Below are 25529 nucleotides of genomic sequence, written 5' to 3'. Positions count from 1 at the left end.
GTATTTTTGTAGAGACAGGGCTTCGCCATGTTGCCGAGGCTGGTCTCGAACTCCTGAGCTCAAGCAATCTGCCCACCTTGGCCTCCCAAAGTGCTGGGATTACAGGCATGAGCCACCGCCCCAGCCAACATGAGCAATTAAAAATTTTTTGTTGTTGTTTGCTGGGCTGTCTTTCTTCTATTTTGATGCTGCTGTGAGACTCTGTGGATCAGGGTCTTAAAAATATTAAAAGTCTTTCAGGCCGGGTGCGGTAGCTCATGCCTGTAATCCAGCACTTTGGGAGGCCAAGGTGGGTGGATCACCTGAGGTCACGAGTTTGAGACCAGCCTGGCCAACATGGCGAACCCCGTCTTTACTAAAAATACAAAAATTAGCTGGGCGTGGTGCCCGGTGCCTGTAATCCCAGCTACTTGGGAGGCTGAGGCAGGGAAAATTGCTTGAACCTGGGAGGCGCAGGTTTCAGTGAGCAGAGATCCGGCCACTGCACTCCAGCCTGGGCGACAGAGGGAGACTCTGTCTCAAAAAAGCAAAACAAACAACAAAAGTCTTTCAAAGCCGAAAGGTTCTTAGGCACTGTCTTAAAGCCTAGCGCTCCAGCTGAAGCTGGTGCCTGAGTCCAGATGGTGTTGAAGAAGGAGCAGGGCCCAGCGGGCACCACTCTCAGAAGTCGGGCTCAGGTGTCTCCTGCCTCCGAACCCAAGAAGACCCAAGAAGACAGAGTTCCTCAGGCTCCCAGTGTCCCTAGGAAGTGGCAACCTTGACTCTTGGCCAGAGTTCAGAGTCCTGGTTATTAACACCAATAAACCTTTATTTGCCAGGGATACTACCATGGGAGGACACAGCCCCTGAGCCCAGCCCTGTTGATCCTGTGGGAGCGGGAGGGCAGCGGAGGACAAAGGCAGAGACCTGAGAGCCGGAGAGGCTCATCAAAGGGTCCCCAGCCCCTCTCAGGAACGGAGCATTTCTTGGCAGAGTGGTATTCATAGGACAGAGTTTGGGAAGTCGGGGCAGGGGAGCCTGAGGACACAGCAAGGAGAGCTCAGTGGCAGGTGCAGGCAGAGCGTTCTTTGGAAAATGGAGATCCTGGAAGGTGAGGGCCTCGAGCGCCAGTGTCCAGCCTTAGTGGGTATGCATATGTCCAGCTCCCTAAGGACACACTCAGGACAGCTAAGGTGCACACAAGTCCAGGGGCTTCCCCGTGCTCCGCCCCCCTCTCCCCCACCCCGGTAGCAGGCTGGAGGGCCCAGACCATGCTGGGTAGTGGGAGAAATGGAAAGAAATGGGACAGGGAACAGGAGACAAGAGCCCATGGTGGGAGTCAAAGAGCTGGAAGAGTTTTGGAAATGGGGGTCTGGGGGTAGAGTTGATCAAGGGCCGAGTTACTCAGCGGGACAGGTGGGAGGCACGAGGCCCTGGCAGCTCTGTTTTCTTGGCCGGGCTTGGGGGGGAAAGCGGGTAGCCGTCAGGCGCCTAAGGGCCCGCCCTGGACCTCCCCACCGAGGGAGGTGTCAGGCCCCGAGGGACCCGGCCCCCGAGCATCACGGACGCGCTGGAGGCCGGTGGGCGGTCGCCGTAGTCGCCCTCCCACCACCTCGCTCAGGTTTCTCCGGCCTGGGGCAAGAGGCCTGTGGCCCGCGCGGGAACGCACTGTCCACCCTCAGACCTGGGACTGGGCCGGCGCGCGGACGCTACCAAGAGGCTGCGGCTCCCGCCCCCGCGGCCGGACGTGGCGCCTCCCCTGAGGCCGCGGCCGGAGCCTGGAGGTGGGGTCGGAGTCAGAGCCCGGGGCTCTGATGTCACCGCGCGGCTGCGACGGCCCAGGAGCGCGTCTCGGCGGGAGCCTCAGGTACGCGGCGGGGGCGGGGGAGCGGGAAGCGGGCGGCTGGGTCCGCTTCCCCCGGGAGGCCGGCGGGGCTGCGGGCGGACGGGGGTGAAGAGCGGGCGGCGAGGCGGTGGTCGCGGGGCAGCCCGGGCATCGTTCGGCCGGGACGTGTCTGGCTCGGCGCCGCGTCAGGTTGCGCCAGTGGAGTCGGACCCCAGCGCGCCTCTCCCAGCTGCAGAGCTGCAGGGCGGAGAGGCGGCCCACTCTAAGCTGGCGGCGCGGCTCAGGGGCGCGGCTGGGCGCGCCGCGTGTGGCGCCGGCGGGCAGCGCGGTCTCACTCCGCCACCCTCCGCTCCTGCCCTTTGTCGCCAAGCATCTGGAGAAGCCGGGTCCTTCCCTCCCGGGCTCGCGCTGTCCCCTGCGCGCGATCCTTCCCCGACGGTGAACCCAACGGGAAAGGCCCAGAACTGCGCGGGGCTGCGGCCATCTGCTGTCGAGCCGCTCCGCGTGTCTCTGCCGCCCCCTGCGGCCGCCGGGGCCTGCGCCTCTCTCCCTCCCGTGCCTCGGCTCCCAGAGATTGAACCCCAGGTAACCGGGTCTGTCCACGCCCGCGGCCGCCTCTCCCCGGGTGTCGCCAGCTTCCTGCATTTCCTGTGCATGGCACGGAGCTCGGGTCTCCAGAGACTCTGCATCTGGGGTGCAGCGACCGATGAGCCCGTAAACCAGTCGCACACTCGGAGCGTGGATGCTGCGTGGGGTGCGCTGTCAGCGCGGACAGGCTGGGAGAACGGGGGACGCTGGGGACAGGGAGAGCCGGTGAACTTCCCAGAACGTCCGCCTAGCCAGACCCAGCTGCGGGTACTGGGTTTTGAGACGTGGTCCAGTACCCAGGAACTCAGTCTGACAGGGAGACAGCGCCTACACAGTGAGCCCAGTACTGAGGGAAGACCCGCTGGGAGGGGCGGCCTGGATAGCCCCTCCACAGAGAGGTCAGATGTGAGGTGGCCTTGAGGGAGGTATGATGTAAATCCTGATCATTCGTTGTATTTGAGGCTGTCCGTTCTCCTGTGCCTCCTCGGTCGCCTTACTTGGATCTGTTCCCATTGCCTTGGTGTGATTTTATCCACCGGAAACTGTCTTCAGCTATTTCCCCAGTAACCTCTAACTAAAAACCTGGGTCTTGCCTGGTCTACCCTCCCCTGCTGAACTCCAGAGCCACATCCCAACTGCTGCCTGACTTGTCACAGACACCATGAAGCCCAGACTGAAGGAGCACTGGCCCCCTTGACAATTCCTCAGCCCCAGCTCCTCCTTTCAGACTGGTGCCTCCACCTGCCAGACCCCTAGCTTTGAAGGCCAATCTCATCTTCGTCTCCTTCCTCTCTGGCTCCTTCATTCAGGTGACAAGTATACATCAAATGCCCACCCCAACTCCCCCTCCCAGGACTCCAATCTGGTGTCTTTCTAGCGGGGAGTCTAGGTTGCTCCCTCTGCTCTGGAGAGGCTTGGCAAAATGCCTGCAGAGCTCCTTGAGCTCCACCTCTGAACTCCCTTTCAGCAGCCGGCACAGGCATAACAGCCCAGCCCACAGGTACCACTGCCACTGAGGCAGGGACCCCTAAGGTAGGGCTACCCCCAGCCACAGGGGCTGGCTGGACTGCAAGAGGCTCCCTGCAGCCAGACAAGTATGAAAATGCCTTGTTGTTTTGTGCTGAGGCCCCCCAAAACACACCAAAGCAGCTGGGCCCTCTTGGCATGGTAGGTTCTGCAAAGCACCCACTGTGAGGAGCCTGCGTGAACATCAACCTGATAGGGCCACCAGTGCAAAAGCATCTTCAACAAGTTACAGTCAATAAGGAAACACATGTGTAGACACATTTTTATTGCCCATTCAAGCTGTTTTTATTTGCTGAATTCAGAATCCTTTAACATAGTAACTCACAAATAAGATAGATTTTCATAGATTTTCAAGACCTCTTTTGAGGAAACATCTTGTGTTTGGTGATCCCCATCTGTAGCTGCAGCAAGCCAAAATGGGCAGGATGGGTGACATGAGCTAGTGCTCCCAAGCTGGACTCAGAAAGAGTAGGAAGAGAAAGGGCTAATGTCTGAGCAGTCGGGTGGGCTTCCTAGATGAGGGGACTGTCCTCCCAGGAGCTGCTACTCAGAGTAGTTTCTTGTCCTCCTAAAGTTTAGAGTGGAAATACTTTGCAAAAGAGGTCCCCAACCCTAAGTGTGAGGGCTAAGCTCCTGGGCTTAGTAGGCATATACAAATGCCCCCAGGTGGGTGACATCAAGATGTTCTGGTCCTAGGTCTGCTGAGAGCCTCTCCTGGGAATGTTGTAGGTACTGCCTTTCCCTTTTAGGAAACACCATATCCTCCTACCACTAACCCCCATCCTTGCCCTAACCAGCAATCTGTAACATCCTGGGCCTCAGGGACGTGGGTGGAGGGTGACTCTGAGCTCCAGATAGTGTCTAGGAGGCTCAAATAAGCCTGCTTTTTGGTCCTCACCCTAGCCGTGGGCCACCCTACTCTGCACTCCCTACCAAGCAGCTCAGAGAATGGAGGCCAGCGCCCAAAAGTCTCCATAGTTCATAGGGAGCCCCAAACCTCAACACTGCCCTTTCCCAAGCCTCAAAATTTCTCTTACCCTGACCCAGGCACACCCACTCAACTCTTACCCTTGATCCCCCTCCCAGGACCAGAAGGGATTGATTTCTGGTGAGTCCTGCCCCAAGCTGTGCTTGCCTGCTCTGTTCGTACCTAATATTGCATGAGGAACCTGGCCAGTGTCTATGGTGGCAAGTGCTTCACCCATTCTGTCCTCTTCCCCAGAAAAGACTAATAGGGAGGGAAGAAGCGTGCGCAGAAGCTAAGGAACTCTCTTCCTTCTCTACCAAGGCCACCCCTACATCTACTCCCTGCAAATCTGTTATTTCCCTTGACATTCAGCAAATATTTGGGGTTTTGTTTTGTTTTGTTTTGTTTTGTTTTGTTTTGAGACAGAGCCTCACTTTGTCGCCAGGCTGGAGTGCAGTGGCGCGATCTCGGCTCACTACAACTTCCGCCTCCCGGGTTCAAGCGATTCTTCTGCCTCAGCCTCCCGAGTAGCTGGGACTACAGGCGTGTGCCACCACGCCCAGCTAATTTTTGGTATTTTTAGTAGAGATGGGGTTTCACGATGTTGGCCAGGATGCTCTTGATCTCTTTACCTAGTGATCCGCCCACCTCGGCCTCCCAAAGTGCTGGGATTACAGGCGTGAGCCACTGCACCCGGCCCAAATATTTAACATTGACTGTATGCCAGGGACTCTGCTGGGCACTGAGAGTGCAGCAATGAGGAAGAGCAGGGCCCATTCTCAGGAAGCTCAGGGGTGGGAATGGGAGGAGGGAATCAGAAGCAAGCCAACAGGGACAGTGTGGGGTGGGGGTCAGCTCAGCACACTGTAGGAGTCCCAAAAAGTGAGGAGACCTCTAAGCTGAGTCCTACAGGAGAAGCAAGAATAGAAGCAGGGCAAAGATGGGGGTCGGCCCATCATTCCTAGACGAAAGGCAGAGTTTGAGAAGTGGGGGCCAGATTATTTTGGAATCTGCCAATAGTGTATGGGGAGGTAGGGGTGACTTTCCCATAGTGGAGTGTGGGCTTCCTTGGAGGATTCAGGCTGTTGGGGAACAGGAGGGATGGTAAACTGCCTTTCAGCAGGGCTTGCTTCTAGGAAATTGATTCTGGCTGCAGTGAGCGTGGAGGCAGGCCTGGATTCCAGGCAGGCTTCTGCCACGTCCCAGCTGTGTGGCCCTGGACAAATCATTTCCCTCTCAGAACCTCATTGTCCTTGTCTGTAAAATGCAGACAGCAGTTGCAACGATCAAAATAAATATTTATATAAAGCACCTGGAACATAACAGGCACAGAGGGAGGGAGGAAGGCTGTGAAGCTGCCTCTGCCCCTTGCCCTGGGTCTTCCCCCACCCCTCCTTTCTTAGCTCCCCTGAGGTCACAAGAGTGTTCTTGACCATTGTTTATCAGGGAAAGATCACATGGAGAAGCCAACAGAACGGCCAGGAAGCAGCCTGGGTGGAACAGGGTTGGGGAGGAAAGGAACATGGGTACATTCTCAGCGTTCCAGGAGGTCTCAGGGTAAAGGCTGCTTGTGTGGGCAAGGGGAGCCTGGCAGGGAATGAGCTGGTCCCAATTCCTTCCCCTGAGCTGGGCCCTCAACCTTCAGAGGTGCTCCCTGGGACTGGTCCTACTTCCTCTGCCACCTCTGATCCCAAGGTGACTCTGCCAAAATCTGGGGGATGCCAGCGCTTGTGACGGTGTGACCAGGGAGGGGAAGTGTAAGTGTCTGGCCGTCCGTGGTGGCGGGGCCAGCAGGCTGTCCCAGCCCTCACCCGGAGCTCCTCACCCGGCACCACATCTGTGTTTTCCCAGGACCCACGCAGCCACCCAGCCTCAGCACTCATCTGCGCAGCCATGGAGGCCCTGGGACCTGGGGGCGACCGCGCCTCCCCGGCCTCGTCCACTAGCAGCCTGGACCTGTGGCATCTGTCCATGCGCGCGGACTCGGCCTACAGCTCTTTCTCCGCAGCCTCCGGCGGCCCCGAGCCGCGCACGCAGTCGCCGGGGACAGACCTCCTTCCTTACCTAGACTGGGACTACGTGCGTGTGGTTTGGGGCGGCCCGGGCCCCGCCCCGCCCGACGCTGCCCTTTGCACATCCCCGCGGCCCCGGCCCGCGGTTGCAGCCCGCAGTGGGCCGCAGCCAACAGAGGTCCCGGGGACCCCGGGACCACTGAACAGGCAGGCCACCCCGCTGCTGTACGCGCTGGCGGCCGAGGCGGAGGCCGCGGCGCAGGCTGCCGAGCCGCCCAGCCCGCCGGCCTCGAGGGCCGCCTACCGCCAGCGGCTTCAGGGCGCGCAGCGGCGAGTGCTCCGGGAGACGTCGTTCCAGCGCAAGGAGCTCCGCATGAGCCTGCCCGCCCGTCTGCGGCCCACTGTCCCAGCGCGGCCCCCGGCGACTCACCCGCGCTCCGCCTCGCTCAGCCACCCGGGCGGGGAGGGGGAGCCGGCGCGCTCCCGGGCTCCCGCGCCAGGAACTGCCGGCCGGGGTCCCCTCGCCAACCAGCAGCGGAAGTGGTGCTTCTCAGAGCCAGGAAAGCTGGATCGTGTGGGTCGGGGCGGTGGGCCGGCGCGGGAATGCCTGGGTGAGGCCTGCTCCAGCTCTGGCCTCCCTGGGCCCGAGCCCTTGGAGTTCCAGCATCCGGCGCTGGCTAAGTTTGAAGATCACGAGGTCGGATGGCTGCCCGAGACGCAACCCCAAGGCTCCATGAACCTGGACTCCGGGTCCTTGAAGCTCGGTGATGCCTTCAGGCCCGCCAGTCGGAGTCGGAGCGCTTCAGGCGAAGTCTTGGGTTCCTGGGGAGGATCAGGAGGGACCATACCCATTGTCCAGGTATGGAAGTCAGGAGATGCAGGCTGGTGAGGGGAGCATCTGGGAAACAAAACTTGAGCCACATTTCAGTCGACTGTTCACCCTTCCAGGCTGTTCCCCAAGGAGCAGAAACCCCCAGACCATTGTTTCAGACCAAACTTTCCAGGTGAGAGACACGGACCACTCTGGACCAAGTTGGGGGGAAGCAGCTTGCATAGCTTTTGCCCAAAAAATGAAAGGGCTTCCTACCTACCCTCAGTCTGAGCCTTCTGGTTATTTTGAAAATACCCTACTGTCTCCCTGGTGCAACACCAAGAGCTTCCTTCCTTTCACTGTGGTCACTATGGGGTCCCTGCCTCCAGGTTCTTGCCTCAGAAAGAGGCTGCGGTGATGTATCCTGCAGAGTTACCCCAGAGCAGCCCTGCTGACAGTGAACAGAGGGTCTCAGAGACCTGCATTGTGCCTGCCTGGCTCCCCTCCCTTCCTGATGAAGTGTTCCTAGAAGAGGCCCCACTGGTCAGAATGAGATCACCACCAGACCCCCATGCCTCCCAGGGGCCCCCAGCCAGGTAATTCCCTCTTGCTTCCAAGCATCGTGAGGCACCCCCTGACACACACATCTACAAAACGCTAGAGGGGTGGGAATGCTCTCCTAGCTGGAGCCTGGGATTCCAGGTGATGGGGGTAGGGACAGATGGCCCTTGGAGGCCACCATTTGTTTGTGGCTGGAGCTTTTTCTGATTCAGTGTCTTTTCTGCTTCCAGTGTCCATGCCTCTGACCAGCCGTATGGAACTGGCTTAGGCCAAAGAACTGGCCAGGTTACAGTCCCCACAGAGTACCCGCTCCATGAGTGTCCAGGAACTGCAGGGGCAGATGACTGCTGGCAGGGGGTGAATGGTTCTGTAGGTATTTCCAGGCCCACAAGCCACACCCCCACTGGGACTGCAAATGATAACATCCCAACTATTGACCCCACTGGACTGACCACCAATCCCCCCACAGCTGCAGAGAGTGACCTCCTCAAACCTGTCCCAGCTGATGCCTTGGGACTTTCAGGCAATGATACTCCAGGTCCCTCTCACAATACTGCCCTAGCCAGGGGCACTGGCCAGCCTGGTTCCAGGCCCACATGGCCTAGTCAGTGCCTCGAGGAGCTGGTTCAGGAGCTGGCCAGATTAGATCCCTCTCTATGTGACCCTCTTGCTTCCCAGCCCAGCCCAGAGCCACCCCTGGGCCTGCTGGATGGACTGATTCCTTTAGCAGAGGTCCGGGCTGCAATGCGGCCTGCCTGTGGGGAGGCTGGAGAGGAGGCTGCCAGTACTTTTGAGCCAGGGTGAGTGAGGTGTACTAGGGAATCTGGACACTGAGCCCCTGAAGTTGGGGACAGGAAACCCAGGGAGCTCTGGTTTTGTTCCCAGGTCCTATCAGTTCAGCTTCACCCAGCTCCTGCCGGCTCCTCGGGAGGAGACAAGGCTTGAAAACCCTGCCACCCACCCTGTGCTTGACCAGCCATGTGGGCAGGGGCTCCCTGCACCAAACAACAGCATCCAGGGCAAGAAAGTGAGTGGAGAAGGGCTGGTGGAGGCTGGGGGTGGGTAGGAGCCCAGAGCCTGGGCAGGGAAGTCATGAGCCTGGCCCCAGCCTTGAGCCTTCCCTGTAGGTGGAGCTGGCCGCCCGCCTCCAAAAGATGCTTCAGGACCTTCACACGGAGCAGGAGCGGCTGCAGGGGGAGGCACAAGCGTGGGCCAGGCGCCAAGCGGCTCTGGAGGCTGCAGTGCGCCAGGCCTGTGCCCCTCAGGAGCTGGAGCGGTTCAGCCGGTTCATGGCCGACCTAGAGCGCGTGCTTGGCCTTCTGCTGCTGCTGGGCAGTCGCCTGGCGCGCGTGCGCCGCGCCCTGGCCCGGGCGGCCTCAGACAGCGACCCTGATGAGCAGGTAAAAGGGGTTCAGGTTGCAAGCGAGTAGGGCGGTGAGGGGCCTGCTGTCTCCGGCTGGAACCATTCCGGGAGCGGCGGCGCCCTCACCCGGCTCACGGCGCCTCTTCCTGCGGCTCAAGGCCTCCCTGCTGCAGCGACTCCGGCTCCTGCAGCGGCAGGAGGAGGACGCCAAGGAGCTGAAGGAGCACGTAGCGCGGCGCGAGCGGGCCGTGCGGGAGGTGCTGGTGCGAGCACTACCGGTGGAGGAGCTGCGCGTCTATTGCGCCCTGCTGGCGGGCAAGGCCGCCGTCCTGGCCCAGCAGCGCAACCTGGACGAGCGCATCCGCCTCCTTCAGGACCAACTGGACGCCATCAGGGACGACCTTGGCCATCATGCCCCGTCTCCCAGCCCGGCGCGGCCCCCAGGGACCTGTCCTCCAGTTCAGCCGCCCTTCCCTCTTCTCCTTACATAGTTATAGGTGGAGAGGGTGGGGTGCACCGCCCCTATCTCTCACCCACGTAAGTGGGGTGATGCTGATTTAGTCTCTGCTTTTCCCTTGAGGGATTGGGGAGGACCCAGTCCAGGCCTTTCTAAGATACTCCTCCAGCCGGGCGCGGTGGCTCACGCCTGTAATCCCAGCACTTTGGGAGGCCGAGGCGGGCGGATCACAAGGTCAGGAGATCGAGACCATCCTGGCTAACACGGTGAAACCCCGTCTCTACTAAAAATATAAAAAATTAGCCGGGCGTGGTGGCGGGTGCCTGTATTGCCAGCTACTCGGAAGGCTGAGGCAGGAGAATGGCGTGAACCTGGGAGGTGGAGCTTGCAGTGAGCGGACATCGCGCCACTGCACTCCAGCCTGGGCGACAGAGCAAGACTCCGTCTCAAAAAAAAAAAAAAAAAAAAAAAAAAAAAAGATACTTCTCCAAAGTGTTCTCATGTGGCCTCACCCAGGTCTTGTGTATTATTTGGTAATTAATTTATGGATCTTAAAAACTGCAGTATTCCCCCATTTTGTGATGAGAGTGTGGGGCTGGCAGGGGTTGGTTGGAGGGAGGAGAGAAGACAGAGGAGCACTTAAGGTGCAAAGCAGCCTATTTTTTCTTCAATAAAAATTGTTAAGAGAAGTGTGTGTGTCATCTGCAGCACAGCTGTGGGAGGAGTGAGAGGGGTCTTGTTTACACAGTCACCAGCCCTGGCTGACTAGAGCAGAAGAGGGATTTGCTGGCAGAATATCAGTCAACCCTGCCAATGTCTAGTTAGTCTGGAGAACCTGGCTTGAAAACAGGAGGGACCAGGGGAATACTGCGCTTTCAACTCCACTGTCACCAGTATTTCCTAACTGTTCCAGTGACTGTGTCACAGCCACAAAGGCCTAGGTCTGATTGGCTGAGTCCAGATTCTGTAGCTGGTTTCTAGCCAACATCCCAGCTTCAGTAGAGAAGTAGGAGTCCTGTCTCCTTTCAAGACTCAAGCTACTGAAATGGGCTCAGATGCTGTGCTGCCTAAATGCCCTGACAAATATTCAGAATACTTGGACATCTGGGGACATTCATTCCAAGACCCAGAAAGCACTTTCTTCTTCCAGTTATGTTATCAACACTGTTTATCCTCCTCTCCTTCAGAGATACCACTGGGTCAGCCAGGCCTGAGGCGGGCAGTCGAGGGTGGGAGCTGAAGGTGAGGGGTGGGAGACCTCAAGACCCTCCATGCTGGGACTAAGGACCTGGAGACATAGCAGTGGTTGTAATCTGAGGGTGGGCCATGGTTGGGCGTGGGCAGTTGGGGGCTGGAGTGGTATGACACATAGGACTCCTCAACTTGTGTATCCACCCCATGTATATAGAATCAAAGTTAGGTTCTCAGATATACATGTTGAAATCTGCTTCAGCCTTTGTAGCTGCAAATGCTGGGGCCAACAACATTGTTCCACAAATATTCAGTGTATTTTTGGAAGTTGGGCACATTAAAAGGCATGTTTATGTGCATTTATAGCCAACTGACCCCCAAGTGAGAAATCTGTGCTCCTGGGCTTGTTTTCTGATGCGTATTGTCACCAAGTGCAACTGGTTGGGAATTTTAAATGGTTGTATTCATACCAAAAGCGTTTGTTATAACAGTTGTGCTATTGAGCACAGAACAATGCTCACATTATGCCTTTTTATAAAAAACATATGGGGCTCCTGCTGAGGCCTTTGCGGGTTCTAACATTATGCTTTGCTTTGCCCCTTTGAACACAGTGGGCAGGGCCTCTGCTCCAAGGTCTTTAGCCTAGTAAACACACCCAGAGACATGTTCTGGATGGAAGCTACTAATTTCTGCGTTTTGCCCTGTATGCACCCTACTGCATTATTCCGTTGCGGTATTCTTAGAAACACAGCTACTTGGGAGGCTGAGGTGGGAGGATCACTTGAGTCTGGGAGGTGAAGGTTGCAGTCAGCCGAGACCGCGCCAATACACTCCACCACTTCAGCCTGGGTGACAGAGTGAGACCCCTGTCTCAAAAACAAAAAAAAAAAAAAAAAAAAAAGAGAAAAAAGAAAAAAAGAAACACAGCTAACATGTCCATTCAGCCAATGGGAATTGTGTATTTCAAATAAAGCTTCCCCAGTCCGGCTGGGCGTGGGGAGCACAGGGGTAGGAGTAGGGGCATCTTCCATCTTCCCATTAAACTGGACGTTGGTTGTGCGCTGGGTTTTTCCGTGGGGAAATAAATATGAGGCTTTTGTGCTCGTCCTTGCCAGATCAGAAGAATCCCAAAAATAAGGCCACACCTCCTGCAATGGACCTGCTATCTTCCCTCGGTCTTCTTGCCCCAGTTTTCTCCCTTCCATATCGTTATTTCTCCAGAGGGCAAGAATGAGCTCACCACATTTGTTCCGTTATCAGCACCTCAGACTTCAAGACTTTGTGGGGACCAGAAGCCCGGTGAACTGACCCTTCAGGATACTGCCAGCAGAGGGCGCTGTCCTAATGGTGAAAGCTGGTACCTACGCTTCGCCATTCGCAGCTTCTCCAGCTTACCAGGCCCTCTGGGCCAGCCACAGGGACTTTGACTTGCCCTGCTGAGCAGTTAGGCCCGAAAGCTGGAGCTGAGCCTTTTGCTTCTTTCAGAAAGAAACTGACCAGCCAGGCAGGGAAAGGCTGGCTGTCTTTGCCACTGGGCCTTTGTTGGAAAGTTGCTGGCCAATGAGAAGTGGGAGAGAGGGCAGTCGGGGGGAGGGGTGTGGGGGGATTTAAACGGTACACTGATTAAATCATATCCTCCTAATACGGATTCGATCAGTGCACTTTTTGATTTCGAACATAAGTATCAAAAAAACAAAAAAAAAAAAACAAAAAAGCCTTGCGTAGTCTCCCAGGGTGAGAAAGCGGGTTGCATGGGTCCCTATAGGGGTTTCTGCGCCCCCATCTCCTTTAGCCGCCGGCACCCCTGCCCCATCCTCCTTCCTGGCTGCCTGCCGCGGTGCTTTCGGGCTTTTGGGGGAGCACAGGCCGCGGCTGGCATCGTTGCTGGGCAACAGGCAGCCCCGCGGCCGCCTCCCCAGCTCGCTTATTCCGCCCCCGCTGCTCCTCCTAACATGGATTTAATCAGTGTACTTTTTACCTTCAGGCTGTAAATTAGAAACGGAACAGGGAAGCCATGTTCGGCGGTGCCCGAAACCGGCGCGCAGTCTGTCTTGAACATCCTGCTCGGCACAAAACTTACCCCTGAGAGCGGCTGGCGCAAACCTCAGGGCTCCTCATTGGAACAAATTGCCGTGCTGTGCATTCACATGTAAACCAGGAGCTCAGGAAATTTAGGTCAAATGTGTTTGAGGGCTGCAGAGAGAAACAGGTGAAAGGGGCATTTGGGGGCGCAGGAAGGCGGGAGGCGGCAATTGCTGAGGACCCCATAGTGTTGCTGTCAGCCTAGCTACAGCGTGGAAGGTCACAATGGACGTTTACCTGTTGTCTTTGATGTTTAAATCAGCACCCACTTCCCACGAGGAGGATTTTTTTTTCTTTGAGGAGAGAATCTAGATCTCGATGTCTCTGCTTTCTTTTTTCTTCCCTGCAGGCACACCTGAGGCACCCCGGCCCCAGGTTGAAGTCTGGAGGTGTGGCAGTTCCAAACAGGTGAGGCGGGTTCAAGGCAAAAGGCTATCTGGAGAGCAAAAGAGAATCTAAGTATAGGCCAGGCGCCTATAAATACAGGCTGACTGTCGCCTGTAATCACAGCAGTTTGGGGGGCCGAGGCGGGCTAATTGCCTGAGCTCAGGAGTTCTGAGCTCAGGAGTTCGAGACCAGCCTGGCCAACATGGTGAAACCCCCGTCTCTAACAAAAGATTAGCCAGGCGTGGTGGTGCACGCCTGTAATCCCAGCTGCTCGAGAAGCTGAGGCACGGAAATCGTTTCAAGCGAGAATCGCTTGAACCAGGGAGGCGGAGGTTGCAGTGAGCCGACATCCCACCATTGCACTCCAGCTCAGGTGGCTGAATAGCAGTGGTTAGGTCTGGAAGGTAGGAGTAGGAATGCTAGAGGAATGTGAGTTTAGAAAGACATTATTTCTATTTTAACTAAAGTGATATCATGTACAGAATATGGGATAATTTCCCTCTTGTGGGAATACATTTTTCCTAGTAGAGTCGATTGTTACTTATGTATACAATCACCAACATGTTAAAAGAATGGTGATCATGGCAGGGCACGGTGGCTCACACCTGTAATCGCAGCACTTTGGGAGGCCAAAGCAGGCAGATCACCTAAGATCAGGAGTTTGAGACCAGCCTGACCAACATGGTGAAACCCCATCTCTACTAAAAATTCAAAAAATTAGCCAGGCATGGTGGCACGTGCCCGTGATCTCAGCTACTTGGGAGGCTGAGGCAGGAGAATCGCTTGAAGCCGGGAGGCAGAGGTTGCAGTGAACTGAGATTGCACTACTGCACTCCAGCCTGGGTGACAGAGCGAGACTCCATCTCAAAAAAGAAAAAAAAAAAAAGAAAGAATGATCATGTAAAGCAGATCCACAAATCAGAGCTATTTGGTTTTGGGATGCAGCCATTTACCCCCTGGAACCAACTCGGCACCCCACATTGGTGTTGCAGTTCATAAAGAGCTCTATCCACTCATTCTACGTGCTCTTCCTTCCCCCACAGCCTGTGAAATAGGTACAGGAAGCCTTTTGTCCCGTAGACAGGGAAGATGGAGTTTGGGGAGCTGGGTGACTTGCCCAAAGACACTAAATGAGTAAAAAGGGCTGAGATGAGCCCACCCTGCTTCCTGCAATAGGATAGCAGACAGTGTCATGAAAAAGAGAACCAGGAGACTATTCCAGCTCTGCATTTACTAGCTGTGAGGCCTAGACAAGTAACTTATGACTTCTCTAGGCTTCAGTTTCCTCACTTTAAAATCAAGATACAAATAGTACATACCTTATAAACTTGCGATTAATACCTGCAAAGTGTTTCGAATTGTGCCTGGCACTTAATCAGCACAGGTTATACAGTATATGCATTACCCTGGATCTCCATTAGGTAAGGGAGACATGCTTAAGAATAACCTCCAACCTCCATTAAAGGATATGTAAAACTTTACTTAAAAGCTTGCTATGGATACGACTCATACCCATCTACATCAACAATTCTCCCTCATTAAAAGGCGTGATTTCGTCCCTGTGACAATTCTTGTCAGCTAAATTGCCTTCACAATTATTTTCTGTTAGTGTTGAAAATACCCTTCTAACGGTGTGCCTCCTGCTAGGTGATATATGATTCTTAAAAACTTTCCCTATGCGTATGAAACTATAATTTCTTATCGGCTTACCTTATAGTTGCAGAAAGCTTTGGCCTGCAAGGAAAAGCAGTGTTTTCTAACACCTGAGCTTTAGGTATATTGATCCTAAACTCTTGCTAAATGTTTTACTTCACTTGGAAGGCTTGCAGCACACTCTTCTGAAACACATAGATTCTTCTGGCAGTTCAAATGACCCTCCTCTGATTTAAGTGTGCAATAAACATTAGTTATTGTTATTACTACTTTGCTGGTTTAAACGTTGTCTTTATCAAGGCAGGTCATACCTGTGTCTGTGACCTTTGTCTGAGGCCCTGTCTGAGTCAGGTGTCTCTTTTACCATGGAAAATCTCTAGTATTTTATTCTGTTTTCTAGACTGTCAGCTACTCCAATTGCTATAATTGTGTCTCCTACAATTTTTCAGCAGAGGCAGAAGATTTAATTTGCATTTTAAAATAATTTATGCAGAGTTCCAGGCAAGGAAGGTGGGAAGGTCACATCAGGGCCCACATTTATCTACAGTTCTCCATTACGATATCCATGTGTGGTTGACTCCTTTACTTTGCAGAGCAATCCAACTTCTTTCAATAACAGAATGCTTGAAAGAGGCAGAAGAATGAAGGAAATTAGATAAAAAGAAAAGAAAAATACAATAGCAAAAACTGTACAATTTTTAAGGGAAGTACATCACCACTCAAGCAGAAACAAAATGGAGGACTGTTTATTTCATTGCTCAATCAAAACATTCCATGAAAGACTGCCTTAAGTAATTTCAAAGGCTTCACTGATACATATGGGGGTGGGGAGGGAAGCTCCACTACCCCATGCCACAAAACTATTTGATATAACTAATGACATGCAAACACAATTTGCAAAAGCAGAGCATTATCACAATATGACATTTAAAAAATTGGTTGAGTAAACAGATTTCATATCTTTAAAACATAAAATAATTACACTGTATTGAGCCTGGGAAATCTTGGCAATATCTACAAACTTTCTCATTTACAGATAGGAACAAAGGCCCAGAGAAGTTAAGCCACTCATCCAAGCTCACTGAGCAGAGATTCTGCATTTGCTATTTTGGAATAAGTTGTCTACTTTCAAATGGTTTTTTAAAATGGGTATTACATACTTTTTGTTTGTACAGAACAGTCATATAAAATAGTTGCTCCTTAATTGTATCCATTACTATTTAATCGCTCATTTTTCTGTAATACTATTACTTTTTTAATAGTCACCTATTTCACTGAAAGGCTCCACTGGATTTGAAAACCAGATTCAGAAACATGGCACAAAGGTGCAATTCACAAACCACAATTTTTTTAAAAAATTAAGTAGTCATGCCAAATCAAAATAGCCACCCACAAGTGCCAAACACGTTTCTATTTCATGATGGAGACAACCACAAATTAAAAGTATCTGTCAAAATGTCTCTTTTCTCTAAGTCACCTTTACTTTCAAGATGTACTTGTTTGCAAATATTTAGCATTCACAGTACAACTGAAATTAGTTACATTCATAATGGTCACAATCGTTATTCTGTGTTCAAGACTCTCCAGAATCTTGATTGCCTAAAACGAGGTAGATAAACTTTTAAGTTTGTTGGTTGGGATTAATTTCCTTTAGATCTTGATCATCTATTTTTTAAATAGAATTCCAAAGTATTTAGCAAAAAAAAAATTGAAAATGTCTAAGCACTTTGCCTAAAAGTGGAAAAATATAATTCCAAAAGGTTATTACGAAAGTTGCATTACCTCATTTCAATTTAAAAACAGAATAAAAGCATCAAATTACAAAACCACCACATATCTTAAAGCTGACAACCTAACATCTTTCAACATTTAAAGAGACCCTTGCTCTAGCTCTGTCTTGGGATTGTGTAGCTGCAGAGGCATCAGGTGAAGGCTTTCAGGGGCCAGACCAGCTGCTGCCCCTTAACCTTTGACCCTGGATTTCAAGTTCCCTCTAGAGTTCAGGCCTGTCTCCTGGAGTTCTTTATAGGAAGCTCTCACTGATTTCTCAAATCCCATCTCTGGAGATGGGTCATGCTTCAGAAAGAAGCTGGAGGTGCAGGCCCATCTGGGTAAAACAGGCTGCCCTGGACAAAGCTGGAAACAGAATGAGGCTCCAGGCGTTGATTGGGCTGCAGTCTTGGGCGGGTTTGGACTGCGACGAGCAGGCCACGATAGATCAACCAGGTGGTAGCCCCAGGGACCTTCAGGTTGTTGGAGGCAAACTGGGCACTAGACCAGCTAAAGGCCCCGGAGTAGGTCGACGAGAGATTTCTGAGAAGGCTGGCAGACCACCGCGGATCTTTGTCTTTTTACGTGGAGCCATGGGCGAGGCGCTCAAGAACTTGCTGAAGGAGCTCGACTTCTTCAAGCCTCGGGCCAGGTCCTGGAGCATGAGGTCGTCAGCCAGGACGCCCAGAAATGCACTGGTGGTGGAACTGAGGATGGTGGCGGCCACCTGTACGGGGCGCCTGGCAGCAAGACTGCCACTTCCACCACCGGTCGCATCTGGCTCCGTGGTGCCTCGCAGGCCTGGATCGCCAAGAAGGCGGCGCAGCGCGTACGAGGAGCCGGGCCGCAGGTACTGGTAGGCGCGACGCCCGCTGTGATCACGCACGTGCACCTGGGCACCCAGACGCACCACCAGCAGCACGGCAGCGTCCTCGTGGCCGTGCAGTGCAGCCAGGTGCAGCGGCGTGTAGCCGCCGTGGGAGCGTGCGTTCACGTCGACTGGTGCGCCACTGCGCCGCGCGACCTCCACCAGCTGCAGCGCCATCTCGCCGTCGCCGCTCTTGGCGGCCCAATGCAGGGCCGTGAAGCCAGACATGAAGTCGCGCTTGGCCGCCAAGCCGCGGTCGCGCAGCAGCAGCCCGTGCAGCTGGTGGGTCCAGCGGCCCCCGGCAGTCCGCACGAGCCACTCGTGCTCGGACGGCTCCAGGGGCACCGCGGACGGCGGCGGCGCGGCGGGCAACTCCTCGGCGTCAGGGCTCAGCAGACGCGGGCCGGCGCGCGACAGGCGCCTCAGGTGCGGGGAGCGGCCCGGGCCCAGGCCGAGGCCCAGACCGGACTCTTCCACCGAGAGCCGCCTCAGCAGCAGAGGGGAGCTCCGCGGGCTCGGCTCCTCCGACAGCTGCCGGCGCAGGCCGGGCTCCTCCGCCCGGAGGCGGAGCGTGGCGGGGGCCGGGACGCAGCGCACCGGCAGCATACAGGGCTTCTGCTGCGGCGGCCCTTTCGCTGCCCCGGGCCCGGGCTCCGCGTCTGGCGGATCAGAGCAGGGCGATGCCGCCTCAGAAGGGGCCCTAGGCGGTGGGGCCGCGTCTGCGGAGGGTCTCTCGGTGGCCTGGGCTAGCTCAAGGGCTGGAAGCGGTGGGTCGGCGGACCGCTCCCCGGGCGGCTGAGCGGGCTCGGAGGCCGGCCCCCCCGGGGTGTCCTGTGGCTCTGTTGGCAGACCCAGGTCCCCTGGCGGCTCCACTGGCCGCGGCACCCGGACCAAGGGCGGAGCTCCCGGGGCAGAGGCGCTCCGCGGCAAGACCGTCGAAGTGGGTTTCGACGGCTGGGCCGCTGCCCCCGGGGGGCCGAAGGGTGCGGGCTCGGGCTCCGGGGGCCGGGGCTTCTTCCTCAGCACCACGAACTTGACGCCGTCGAGCTCCTTCACCACCGCCACGTTGTTGACGAACTGCTTGAAGCGGTCCCTGCGGGCGGCGCGGCCCCGCGGGTCGCCGGCATCGAGCAGCGGCTTGAAGCGGCTCAGCAGCTCGGAGTTGCGCACCTTCCCGCCGTGCTCCTGCAGGAAGCCCAGCACCGCCGCCTGGCTCACCCCGGCAGCCGCAGCGGCGGCGGCGGCGGCCAGCGCCATGGTGGGGCCCTGGGTTCCTGGCTCCCGGGGCGGGTGGGCGCCGCGTCGCCGCGGGACGCGCGGGAGCGGGGTTCCGGGAGGCGCGGCCGCGCTCACCTGGTGCCTTCCCCGCGGCCAGCCGGGCGTGTCCCCGAAGCTGGACCTCGGTCGCGCCAGTGCCGCTGGGCCGGGGCGTCTCGGGGCGAAGGGCGCCGGGGGCCGCGGGGAGCGCCCACCCCCAGCGCCCCGCCGGGCCCCGGCCTTCGGGGTAGGTTTCTGCCTTTGTATTCTGTCCAATGGGCGCCTGCTTCCATCCCCCGCGCCGCGCTCGCCTTACAGGTGACAGCTGCCCCCGCGATGCAGAGGGAACCGGAGCAGAAATTCCCGCCGCCCCCCGCCCGCCCCAGAATTAAAGGCGCAGCGCTCCAGCTCTGGTCTCGGTTGCTAGGTGGGTGTGTTCCCTAGGGACGCCGCGGTCCGCCAAGGAGGAATGGATTTTTATTCCTTTAATAAACATTTAACCACTGCAAAACACCAAGCGATGATTTCAGAACAATCTTTTTTTTTTAAAGGTCGTCAATACCACTCCAGTTTTTTTTTTTTTTTACTGTGTTTCATGCAGGAAAACGGCTTCATGAGATTTACAGCAAAACCAATTCACTCTGCGCGGCAATGCACGTTACTCTAGGTTTAGAGAGACGTTTTCAAAAGCAATTTTCTCATGGTAAGAGAATACATTTTCACGTAGAATTTGGGGTATAAAACCACAGGAAACATAAACATAACAGGAAAACATAGAGGAAAACATAAAGAAGGAAAAAAAATCACTTGAAATCACCATTAACATTTTGAAATATCCTCTCCCTGTCTCCCATGTGTGTATGTATGTTTATGCTTTAAAGTAAGAAAGCAATGCGGAGTCATGCCATGGTTTTAAACCTTCGTTTGTTCCACAGATAGGTATTGAGCACGTAGTTTGTGCCAGGACTTTTTTTTTTTTTTTTTTGGCTAAGATGCGTCAGTTAGCAAGACAGATTTAAAAACCCGTGACCTAGTGGGGCTCATGTGTTGGAGGAGAACAGAAGCATATGGTGAATCCGAAAACTATATGATATACTAAATACATGCTATGAAAAAAGCACAGCGGGGTATAACGGATGAGGGTCAGGTTGCAATTTTGATCTGGGCAGTCAGGATAGTACTCGTTGTGAAAGTGACATTTAAACAAGGACTTGAAGGAGATCAGGGAGTTATGTAGACGGGGAAGAGGTTTCTAGTTGAGGGAACTGCCTGGCAGAGGTAGAATCAGTTCCTTAATTTAAAATGCAGGCCGGGCGCGATGGCTCACGCCTCTAATCCCAGCACTTTGGGAGGCTGACTTGGGCGGATGATCTGAGGTCAGGAGTTCGAGACCAGCCTGGCCATCATGGTGAAATCCATCTCTACTTAAAAATACAAAAATTAGCTGGGTGTGATGGCACGCACCTGTAATCCCAGCTACTCCGGAGGCTGAGGCAGGTGAATCGCTTGAACCCGGGAGGTGGAGGTTGCAGTGAGCTGAGATGGCGCCACTGCACTCCAGCCTGGATGACAAGAGCAAGCCCTGTCTCATAAATAAATAAATAATTGCAGTACTACAAATATATCTAACCAGAAGCAGCATATTGTAGTAGCTGAGAAAACAAGACTCTGGAGTCAACATTCTACACTTGAGTTCTGGCTCTACCTTGGGCAAATGCCTTGACTTCTCTGTGCCTCAGCTTTCTTGTCTGTAAAGGAATGAGGAAAATAGTACTTACCTGCTCAGATGGTTGAGAGAATTAAGTGAGAAAATAAACACAAAAGACTTAGCATAATGCTTGGCTTACAGTAATCATTTGAATTATTATTAGTAGTATAGTCACTACTATTAGTATTACTCAAAAGGAAAACAGAAGACTAAAATGTAAAGGGTCCCCTTTCCCCAATCCAATCCCCAGGGGCAATTTCTGAGTTCAGCCCTGTCCCCAAGATGCAAACAATTTAAACATTTCCCCCTCACTTTATATTGTGAGCATTCCTCCCAATGACAATAGCTAGTCTAGTCTTCAAAAACATACAACTTTTAATGATAGCATCAAATAAATGTAGTATTATACTTTGTTTTCTTGTTCTTCATTGTTTATATTGTTTCTAGTTTTTAATTCTTATAAATGATGCTGTTGATATATAAGACTTTGTGCACCTTTCTGAGTAATTCCTTAGGATAGGCTCCTAGGAGTAGAATTCGCAGGGCACGCACCATCACACGCAACAGCATCACACCCAGCTAATTTTATTTTTATATTGCCCAAGCTTGTCTCAAACCCTTGGCCTCAAGCGAGCCTTCCACCTCAGCCTCCAAAGATTACACGTGTGAGCCACTGCATCTAGCCTTACCCCAGCGCCCCCCCTTTTTCTTTTGAGATGGAGTTTTGCTTTTGTTGCCCAAGCTGGAGTGCAATGGCGCAATCTTGGCTCACTGCAAGCTCCGCCTCCCGGGTTCAAGTAATTCTCTTGCCTCAGCCTCCCAAGTAGCTGGGATTACAGGCATGTGCCACCATGCCTGGCTAATTTTTTATTTTTAGTAGAGATGGAGTTTCACCATGTTGGCCAGGCTGGTGTCGAACTCCTGACCTCAGGTGATCCACTCACCTCAGCCTCCCAAAGTGCTGGGATTGCAGGCGTGAGCCACTGCGCCTGCCCTACCTTACCCATTCTTTAGACTCACCTCAAGGCCCACCCCTGTAAAGCCTTCTGCAAACTGCCTCAGGTGTATCGTGCTCTGCATTCCTCAATAATTTATTTCAACAAACATCTATTGGATATCTTTGGGTGCAAGGCTGTAAGCCAGATACTCTGGGTAGAAGATACAATCTGCCTTTGAAGAGCTTACTGCTTAGTGGAGAAGAGAAAAACATTAAGTACAATTAATTATGTGACATAGCCAAATGAAATGAATGCTCCAGGTACTTACCAGAGCACGTGGGGGATGGGGGGTGAAGGGGTGGGGAAGGATAGGGAAGAGGGAGGACTGGGACATCTCCAAGAGGCAGGCTATGAGAACAGGATAGGTGAAAGCTTGAAAGTGGGACTGTGGGCCGGGTGTGGTGGCTCACACCTGTAATCCCAGTACTTTGGGAGGCGGAGGTGGGCAGATCATGAGGTCAGGAGATTGAGACCATCCTGGCTAACATGGTGAAACCCTGTCTCTACTAAAAATACAAAAAAATTAGCCGGGCATGGTGGCGGGCACCTGTAGCCCCAGCTACTTGGGAGGCTGAGGCAGGAGAATGGTGTGAACCCGGGAGGCAGAACTTGCAGTGAGTCAAGATAGTGCCACTGCACTCCAGCCTGGGCAACAAAAAAAGAAAGTGGGACTATGAAGGCTGAATTCAGGGTAAAGAGTGTCCAGTGTGTTTGAAGTTCAGGGTGTGTGCCAGGGATATGGAAAAATATAATGTTGGAAAAGTCATCTGGGGTGATGGGTGAAGGGCCTTAAATGGTAGTTTGGACTTTGCCCTGTTTGCAGTAGAATGTCATTGAGAGCTTGCTTTCTTCTTTTTAAAAAGTGGCTTTATTTTCTGATTATAGAATTAATGTTTTTTCCAATTCTCAATAGTTTCTAAAATATAAAAAGAATATGTCACATGTTAGAGAGCCACTTGATATTTTTTAGTTTATGCTGTGAGGAGTTTTTCTCTGTACATCCATAGATATATACACAACCATCTACACCATTTGGTACACATGGGATTAGACCGCGTGTTGCTAAGAACCCATGTTACCTTAGTCAAGACTGGTGTGGCGAATGGGCGGAAGAGGGGACCCTGGGGAGGTAGTGGCAGGGTCCAGTGGAAGACGGTAGGGCTTATCAAGCTCGGACAGTGGATGGGTGCCAAAGATACTTCAGAAACAGAACTTGCATTATATTGTCTTGTTTTCACTTTTAAAGTTATATTCCCTTTGTTTTAATTTTCATTTCAATAGCTACTTTTTATATTTTATTTTCCTACCTTTTTCTGGGCCAATTGTTGTGTTCCTTGAAAAGTCATTTCCATGATCTCATAGGTAGTGAAGCTTCAACTTGGACTTTTGTTACCATCTCTTGTCTCCAAGAAGAGAGATGAGGGAGAGCACTCTCTGTTAAAGATCATTATTGATTTATGTGGTTTGAACTAATTTTGACTATGATTGTAACCCCCCAATGGATTAATTTACCTTGCCCACTGCCTAGACAGAGCCGATTTATCAAGACAGGGGAATTGCAATGGAGAAAGAGTAATTCACACAGAGCTGGCTGTGCAAGAAGACCAGAGTTTTATTATTACTCAAATCAGTCTCCCTGAGAATTTAGGGACTGGAGTTTTTAAGGATAATTTGGTGGGTAGGGGGGCCAGTGAATTGGGGGTTCTGATCGGTCAGGTCAGAGATGAAATCACAGGGAGTTGAAGCTGTCCTCTTGCATTGAGTCAGCTCCTGGGTGGGGGCTACAAGACCAGATGAGCCAGTTTACGAGCCTGGGTGGTGCCAGCTGATGCATCAAGTACAGGGTCTGCAAAATATCTCAAGAACTGATCTTAGGCTTCACAATAGTGACGTTATCCCCAGGGGCAATTTGGGGAGGTTTAGAATCTTGCAGCCTCCAGCTGCCTGACTTCTAAACCATAATCTAATCTTTTGGCTAATTTGTTAATTCTACAAAGGCAGTCTAGTTCATTTTGGGAAAGGGCTGTTACCATCTTTGTTTCAAACTATAAACTAAGTTTCTCCCAAAGTTAATTTGGCCTATGCTCAGGAATGAACAAGGACAACTTGGAGGTTAGAAGCAAGATGGAGTTAGTAAGATCAGATCTCTTTCACTGTCTCAGTTATAATTTTGCAATGGTGGTTTCATGATCGCTAAGAGTAGACAAGGATTAAATACTGATTGAACAGGAATTGCTAGTACAAGCCGTTTATTGACAGTGCTTAACAGGCTTCAGGCTCTGAGCTACATAAGGAAACTTGGCCAAGGTCACAGTTAACAATTGGCTGAGCTCAAACTGGAACCCCAGGCTACCTGCCTATGCTCATTTACCATGCAAAGTTAGGTCACTGATGATTTAAAATTGATGTTCTGAATGTTTAATAAATAAAGTAGGGAAAAACTCCTCACAAATACCTTACTTAAACTTTTATTTATGCTTGTGCTTCTGAACATACTCTGCTTTAATATTTTAAGTGATAAGTTTATAGTTTGAGCAAACATTACAGTGAGGATGCTAATGACATCCAGTTCCCCAGGCTGCTTTTCAGTTTTGATGCCCTGTTGCCAGTGAGGCCAGAGAATCAATTCTTCCAGTGACCCAGCAGTTTGCCCGCAACATTAGGAAAATCAAATATAAAATGTATATTTATAGCAAGGATAAAATTCCATGATGTGTCTTGAACATGGAGAATGAAATAGGAAGGCTATTTGTTCTTATCTCAGTATCTTAAATATGAAGCAGATCAGGGTAGAGGCCCTCTGTAATTTTTAAAGCTACAATATTTAAATATAAAATAAAATAATTTCATAATCTTATGCTATGTTACATTACATTTATATTATTATTTTTGAGACAAAGTCTCGCTCTTGTCCCCTAGGCTGGAGTGCGATGGCACGATCTTGGCTCACTGCAACCTCTGCTTCCTGGGTTCAAGTGATTCTCCTGCTTCAGCCTCCTGAGTAGCTGGGATTACAGATGCCTGCCAATGGTATTTTTGTGTTTTTAGTAGAGACAGGGTTTCACCATGTTGTTCAGGCTGGTCTCAAACTCCTGACCTCAGGTGATCTGCCCACCTCGGCCTCCCAAAGTGCTGGGATTATAGGCGTGAGCCATCACGCCTGGTCTGTATTCTGTTCTGTTCTATTCCTTATTCCAATCCACACTACCCTCTGAACCCCATGCCTAGGCCCCACCAAGAGCTGTAGCGGATGCTTAATGTTTGTAAATGTCTTCTCCCCTACCATGGCAGTGCAAATCAGCTCCTTCCATTGCGTTTATCCAACGCAGCCTGCCACCTCTGCCCCCTGGTGTCTCACCAATACATCTCATCTGTAAAGAAGAGTTCCTCCGGTCCCAGGAGGCAGGAGCTCCAGGGACTTGAGGGGGATGGGCTGCCCAGCAGTGGCTGTAAAGGGACTTTGCCCAGATATCAAGCTTTTGCGGTCAACTTCCGGAACAAATCGTGCTTTGTTCTTGCTTCCAGCCCAGGGGAAGCAAAGGGGACCTCTCTCATGCCTGCAGCTTGTTAAGCCCACTTCTCTCTAAGGTCAAAAGAACTTTATTTCTAAATCTGAGTGAAAGTGTCAGCTCACGTGTTTCTGCTGTAGACTGAGTTTTTGACTCTGCAGTTCATTTTTCAGGCTGCTGCTTCTCTGATTGCTCAGACTATTGCTTGGTTGCTAAGTAGGGAGCCACAGACCTGGTCCACGGAGACTTGGAAAGCTGTGTCCTGGCTTCATGAATCTCCAGCAGTTGGTGCCCTTTGCTACCCATCTTTAATCATCCCTTTCAGTCCCTTGCCTTCTCAGGTATGAGGTGTTTTTTGTTTGTGGTTTTTTTGAGACGGAGTCTCGCTCTGTTGCCAGGCCGGAGTGCAGTGGCACAGTCTCGGCTCACTGCAACTTCTGCCTCCCGGGTTCAAGGGATTCTCCTGCCTCAGCCTCCGAGTAGTTAGGACTACAGG

At 52.8% G+C, this 25529-nt stretch overlaps 2 protein-coding genes across 12 annotated transcripts, besides 9 other annotated features; one reads left to right on the top strand and one right to left on the bottom strand.

The window, feature by feature from the left end:
• Positions 1485-1904: a silencer, noted in NCBI's record as "silent region_16343". NCBI's record gives its function as "represses an Ori minimal core promoter by ATAC-STARR-seq in GM12878 lymphoblastoid cells {active_cell/tissue: GM12878}" and the evidence as "EXISTENCE:reporter gene assay evidence [ECO:0000049][PMID:35858748]".
• On the top strand, positions 1793-10299 carry SHROOM1 (shroom family member 1). 11 transcript variants are annotated; one of them, NM_001172700.2, is made up of 10 exons: positions 1793-1846; positions 4833-4979; positions 5853-6163; positions 6258-7277; positions 7367-7422; positions 7619-7825; positions 8021-8590; positions 8676-8817; positions 8918-9190; positions 9312-10299. In NM_001172700.2, exons 4-10 carry the CDS (start codon positions 6300-6302, stop codon positions 9642-9644), a joined length of 2559 nt encoding a protein of 852 aa, NP_001166171.1. In that variant the 5' UTR covers positions 1793-1846; positions 4833-4979; positions 5853-6163; positions 6258-6299; the 3' UTR covers positions 9645-10299. The 11 variants fall into 11 exon arrangements, with proteins under 11 accessions (NP_001166171.1, XP_047272687.1, XP_005271942.1 ...); XM_047416731.1 differs by lacking the exon at positions 5853-6163; XM_005271885.5 differs by having other exon boundaries at positions 4487-6163.
• Positions 2115-2424: a silencer, noted in NCBI's record as "silent region_16342". NCBI's record gives its function as "represses an Ori minimal core promoter by ATAC-STARR-seq in GM12878 lymphoblastoid cells {active_cell/tissue: GM12878}" and the evidence as "EXISTENCE:reporter gene assay evidence [ECO:0000049][PMID:35858748]".
• Positions 6430-6729: a silencer, noted in NCBI's record as "silent region_16341". NCBI's record gives its function as "represses an Ori minimal core promoter by ATAC-STARR-seq in GM12878 lymphoblastoid cells {active_cell/tissue: GM12878}" and the evidence as "EXISTENCE:reporter gene assay evidence [ECO:0000049][PMID:35858748]".
• Positions 6780-6919: a silencer, noted in NCBI's record as "silent region_16340". NCBI's record gives its function as "represses an Ori minimal core promoter by ATAC-STARR-seq in GM12878 lymphoblastoid cells {active_cell/tissue: GM12878}" and the evidence as "EXISTENCE:reporter gene assay evidence [ECO:0000049][PMID:35858748]".
• Positions 12073-12152: a silencer, noted in NCBI's record as "silent region_16339". NCBI's record gives its function as "represses an Ori minimal core promoter by ATAC-STARR-seq in GM12878 lymphoblastoid cells {active_cell/tissue: GM12878}" and the evidence as "EXISTENCE:reporter gene assay evidence [ECO:0000049][PMID:35858748]".
• On the bottom strand, positions 15654-19138 carry SOWAHA (sosondowah ankyrin repeat domain family member A). The gene has a single exon (NM_175873.6). It carries the CDS (start codon positions 18816-18818, stop codon positions 17169-17171), a length of 1650 nt encoding a protein of 549 aa, NP_787069.4. The 5' UTR covers positions 18819-19138; the 3' UTR covers positions 15654-17168.
• Positions 16993-17493: an enhancer, noted in NCBI's record as "H3K4me1 hESC enhancer chr5:132150639-132151139 (GRCh37/hg19 assembly coordinates)". NCBI's record gives its function as "activates a minimal SCP1, AML or CMV promoter by ChIP-STARR-seq in primed H9 embryonic stem cells {active_cell/tissue: H9 hESC(primed)}" and the evidence as "EXISTENCE:reporter gene assay evidence [ECO:0000049][PMID:30033119]".
• Positions 17494-17994: an enhancer, noted in NCBI's record as "H3K4me1 hESC enhancer chr5:132150138-132150638 (GRCh37/hg19 assembly coordinates)". NCBI's record gives its function as "activates a minimal SCP1, AML or CMV promoter by ChIP-STARR-seq in primed H9 embryonic stem cells {active_cell/tissue: H9 hESC(primed)}" and the evidence as "EXISTENCE:reporter gene assay evidence [ECO:0000049][PMID:30033119]".
• Positions 18034-18103: a silencer, noted in NCBI's record as "silent region_16338". NCBI's record gives its function as "represses an Ori minimal core promoter by ATAC-STARR-seq in GM12878 lymphoblastoid cells {active_cell/tissue: GM12878}" and the evidence as "EXISTENCE:reporter gene assay evidence [ECO:0000049][PMID:35858748]".
• Positions 23669-23963: a silencer, noted in NCBI's record as "tiled region #2681; K562 Repressive non-DNase unmatched - State 7:EnhWF". NCBI's record gives its function as "represses a minimal TATA promoter and a strong SV40 promoter by Sharpr-MPRA in K562 cells {active_cell/tissue: K562}" and the evidence as "EXISTENCE:reporter gene assay evidence [ECO:0000049][PMID:27701403]".

Source organism: Homo sapiens, chromosome 5, assembly GCF_000001405.40.
Source record: "Homo sapiens chromosome 5, GRCh38.p14 Primary Assembly".
NCBI classification, from domain to species: Eukaryota; Metazoa; Chordata; class Mammalia; order Primates; family Hominidae; genus Homo; species Homo sapiens.
Note: the sequence above shows the minus strand (reverse complement) of the source record. Positions and strands in the feature narration are given on the sequence as shown.

Excerpts from the sequence above, each read along its gene's own strand:
- SHROOM1 (XM_047416730.1), top strand. The coding sequence starts at position 6,300 with ATGGAGGCCCTGGGACCTGGGGGCGACCGCGCCTCCCCGGCCTCGTCC. Across the intron at positions 7,826-8,020 it reads TCCCAGGGGCCCCCAGCCAG|TGTCCATGCCTCTGACCAGC; the intron begins GTAATTCCCTCT and ends TTCTGCTTCCAG. Across the intron at positions 9,191-9,311 it reads ACAGCGACCCTGATGAGCAG|GCCTCCCTGCTGCAGCGACT; the intron begins GTAAAAGGGGTT and ends CTGCGGCTCAAG.
- SOWAHA (NM_175873.6), bottom strand. The coding sequence starts at position 18,818 with ATGGCGCTGGCCGCCGCCGCCGCCGCTGCGGCTGCCGGGGTGAGCCAG.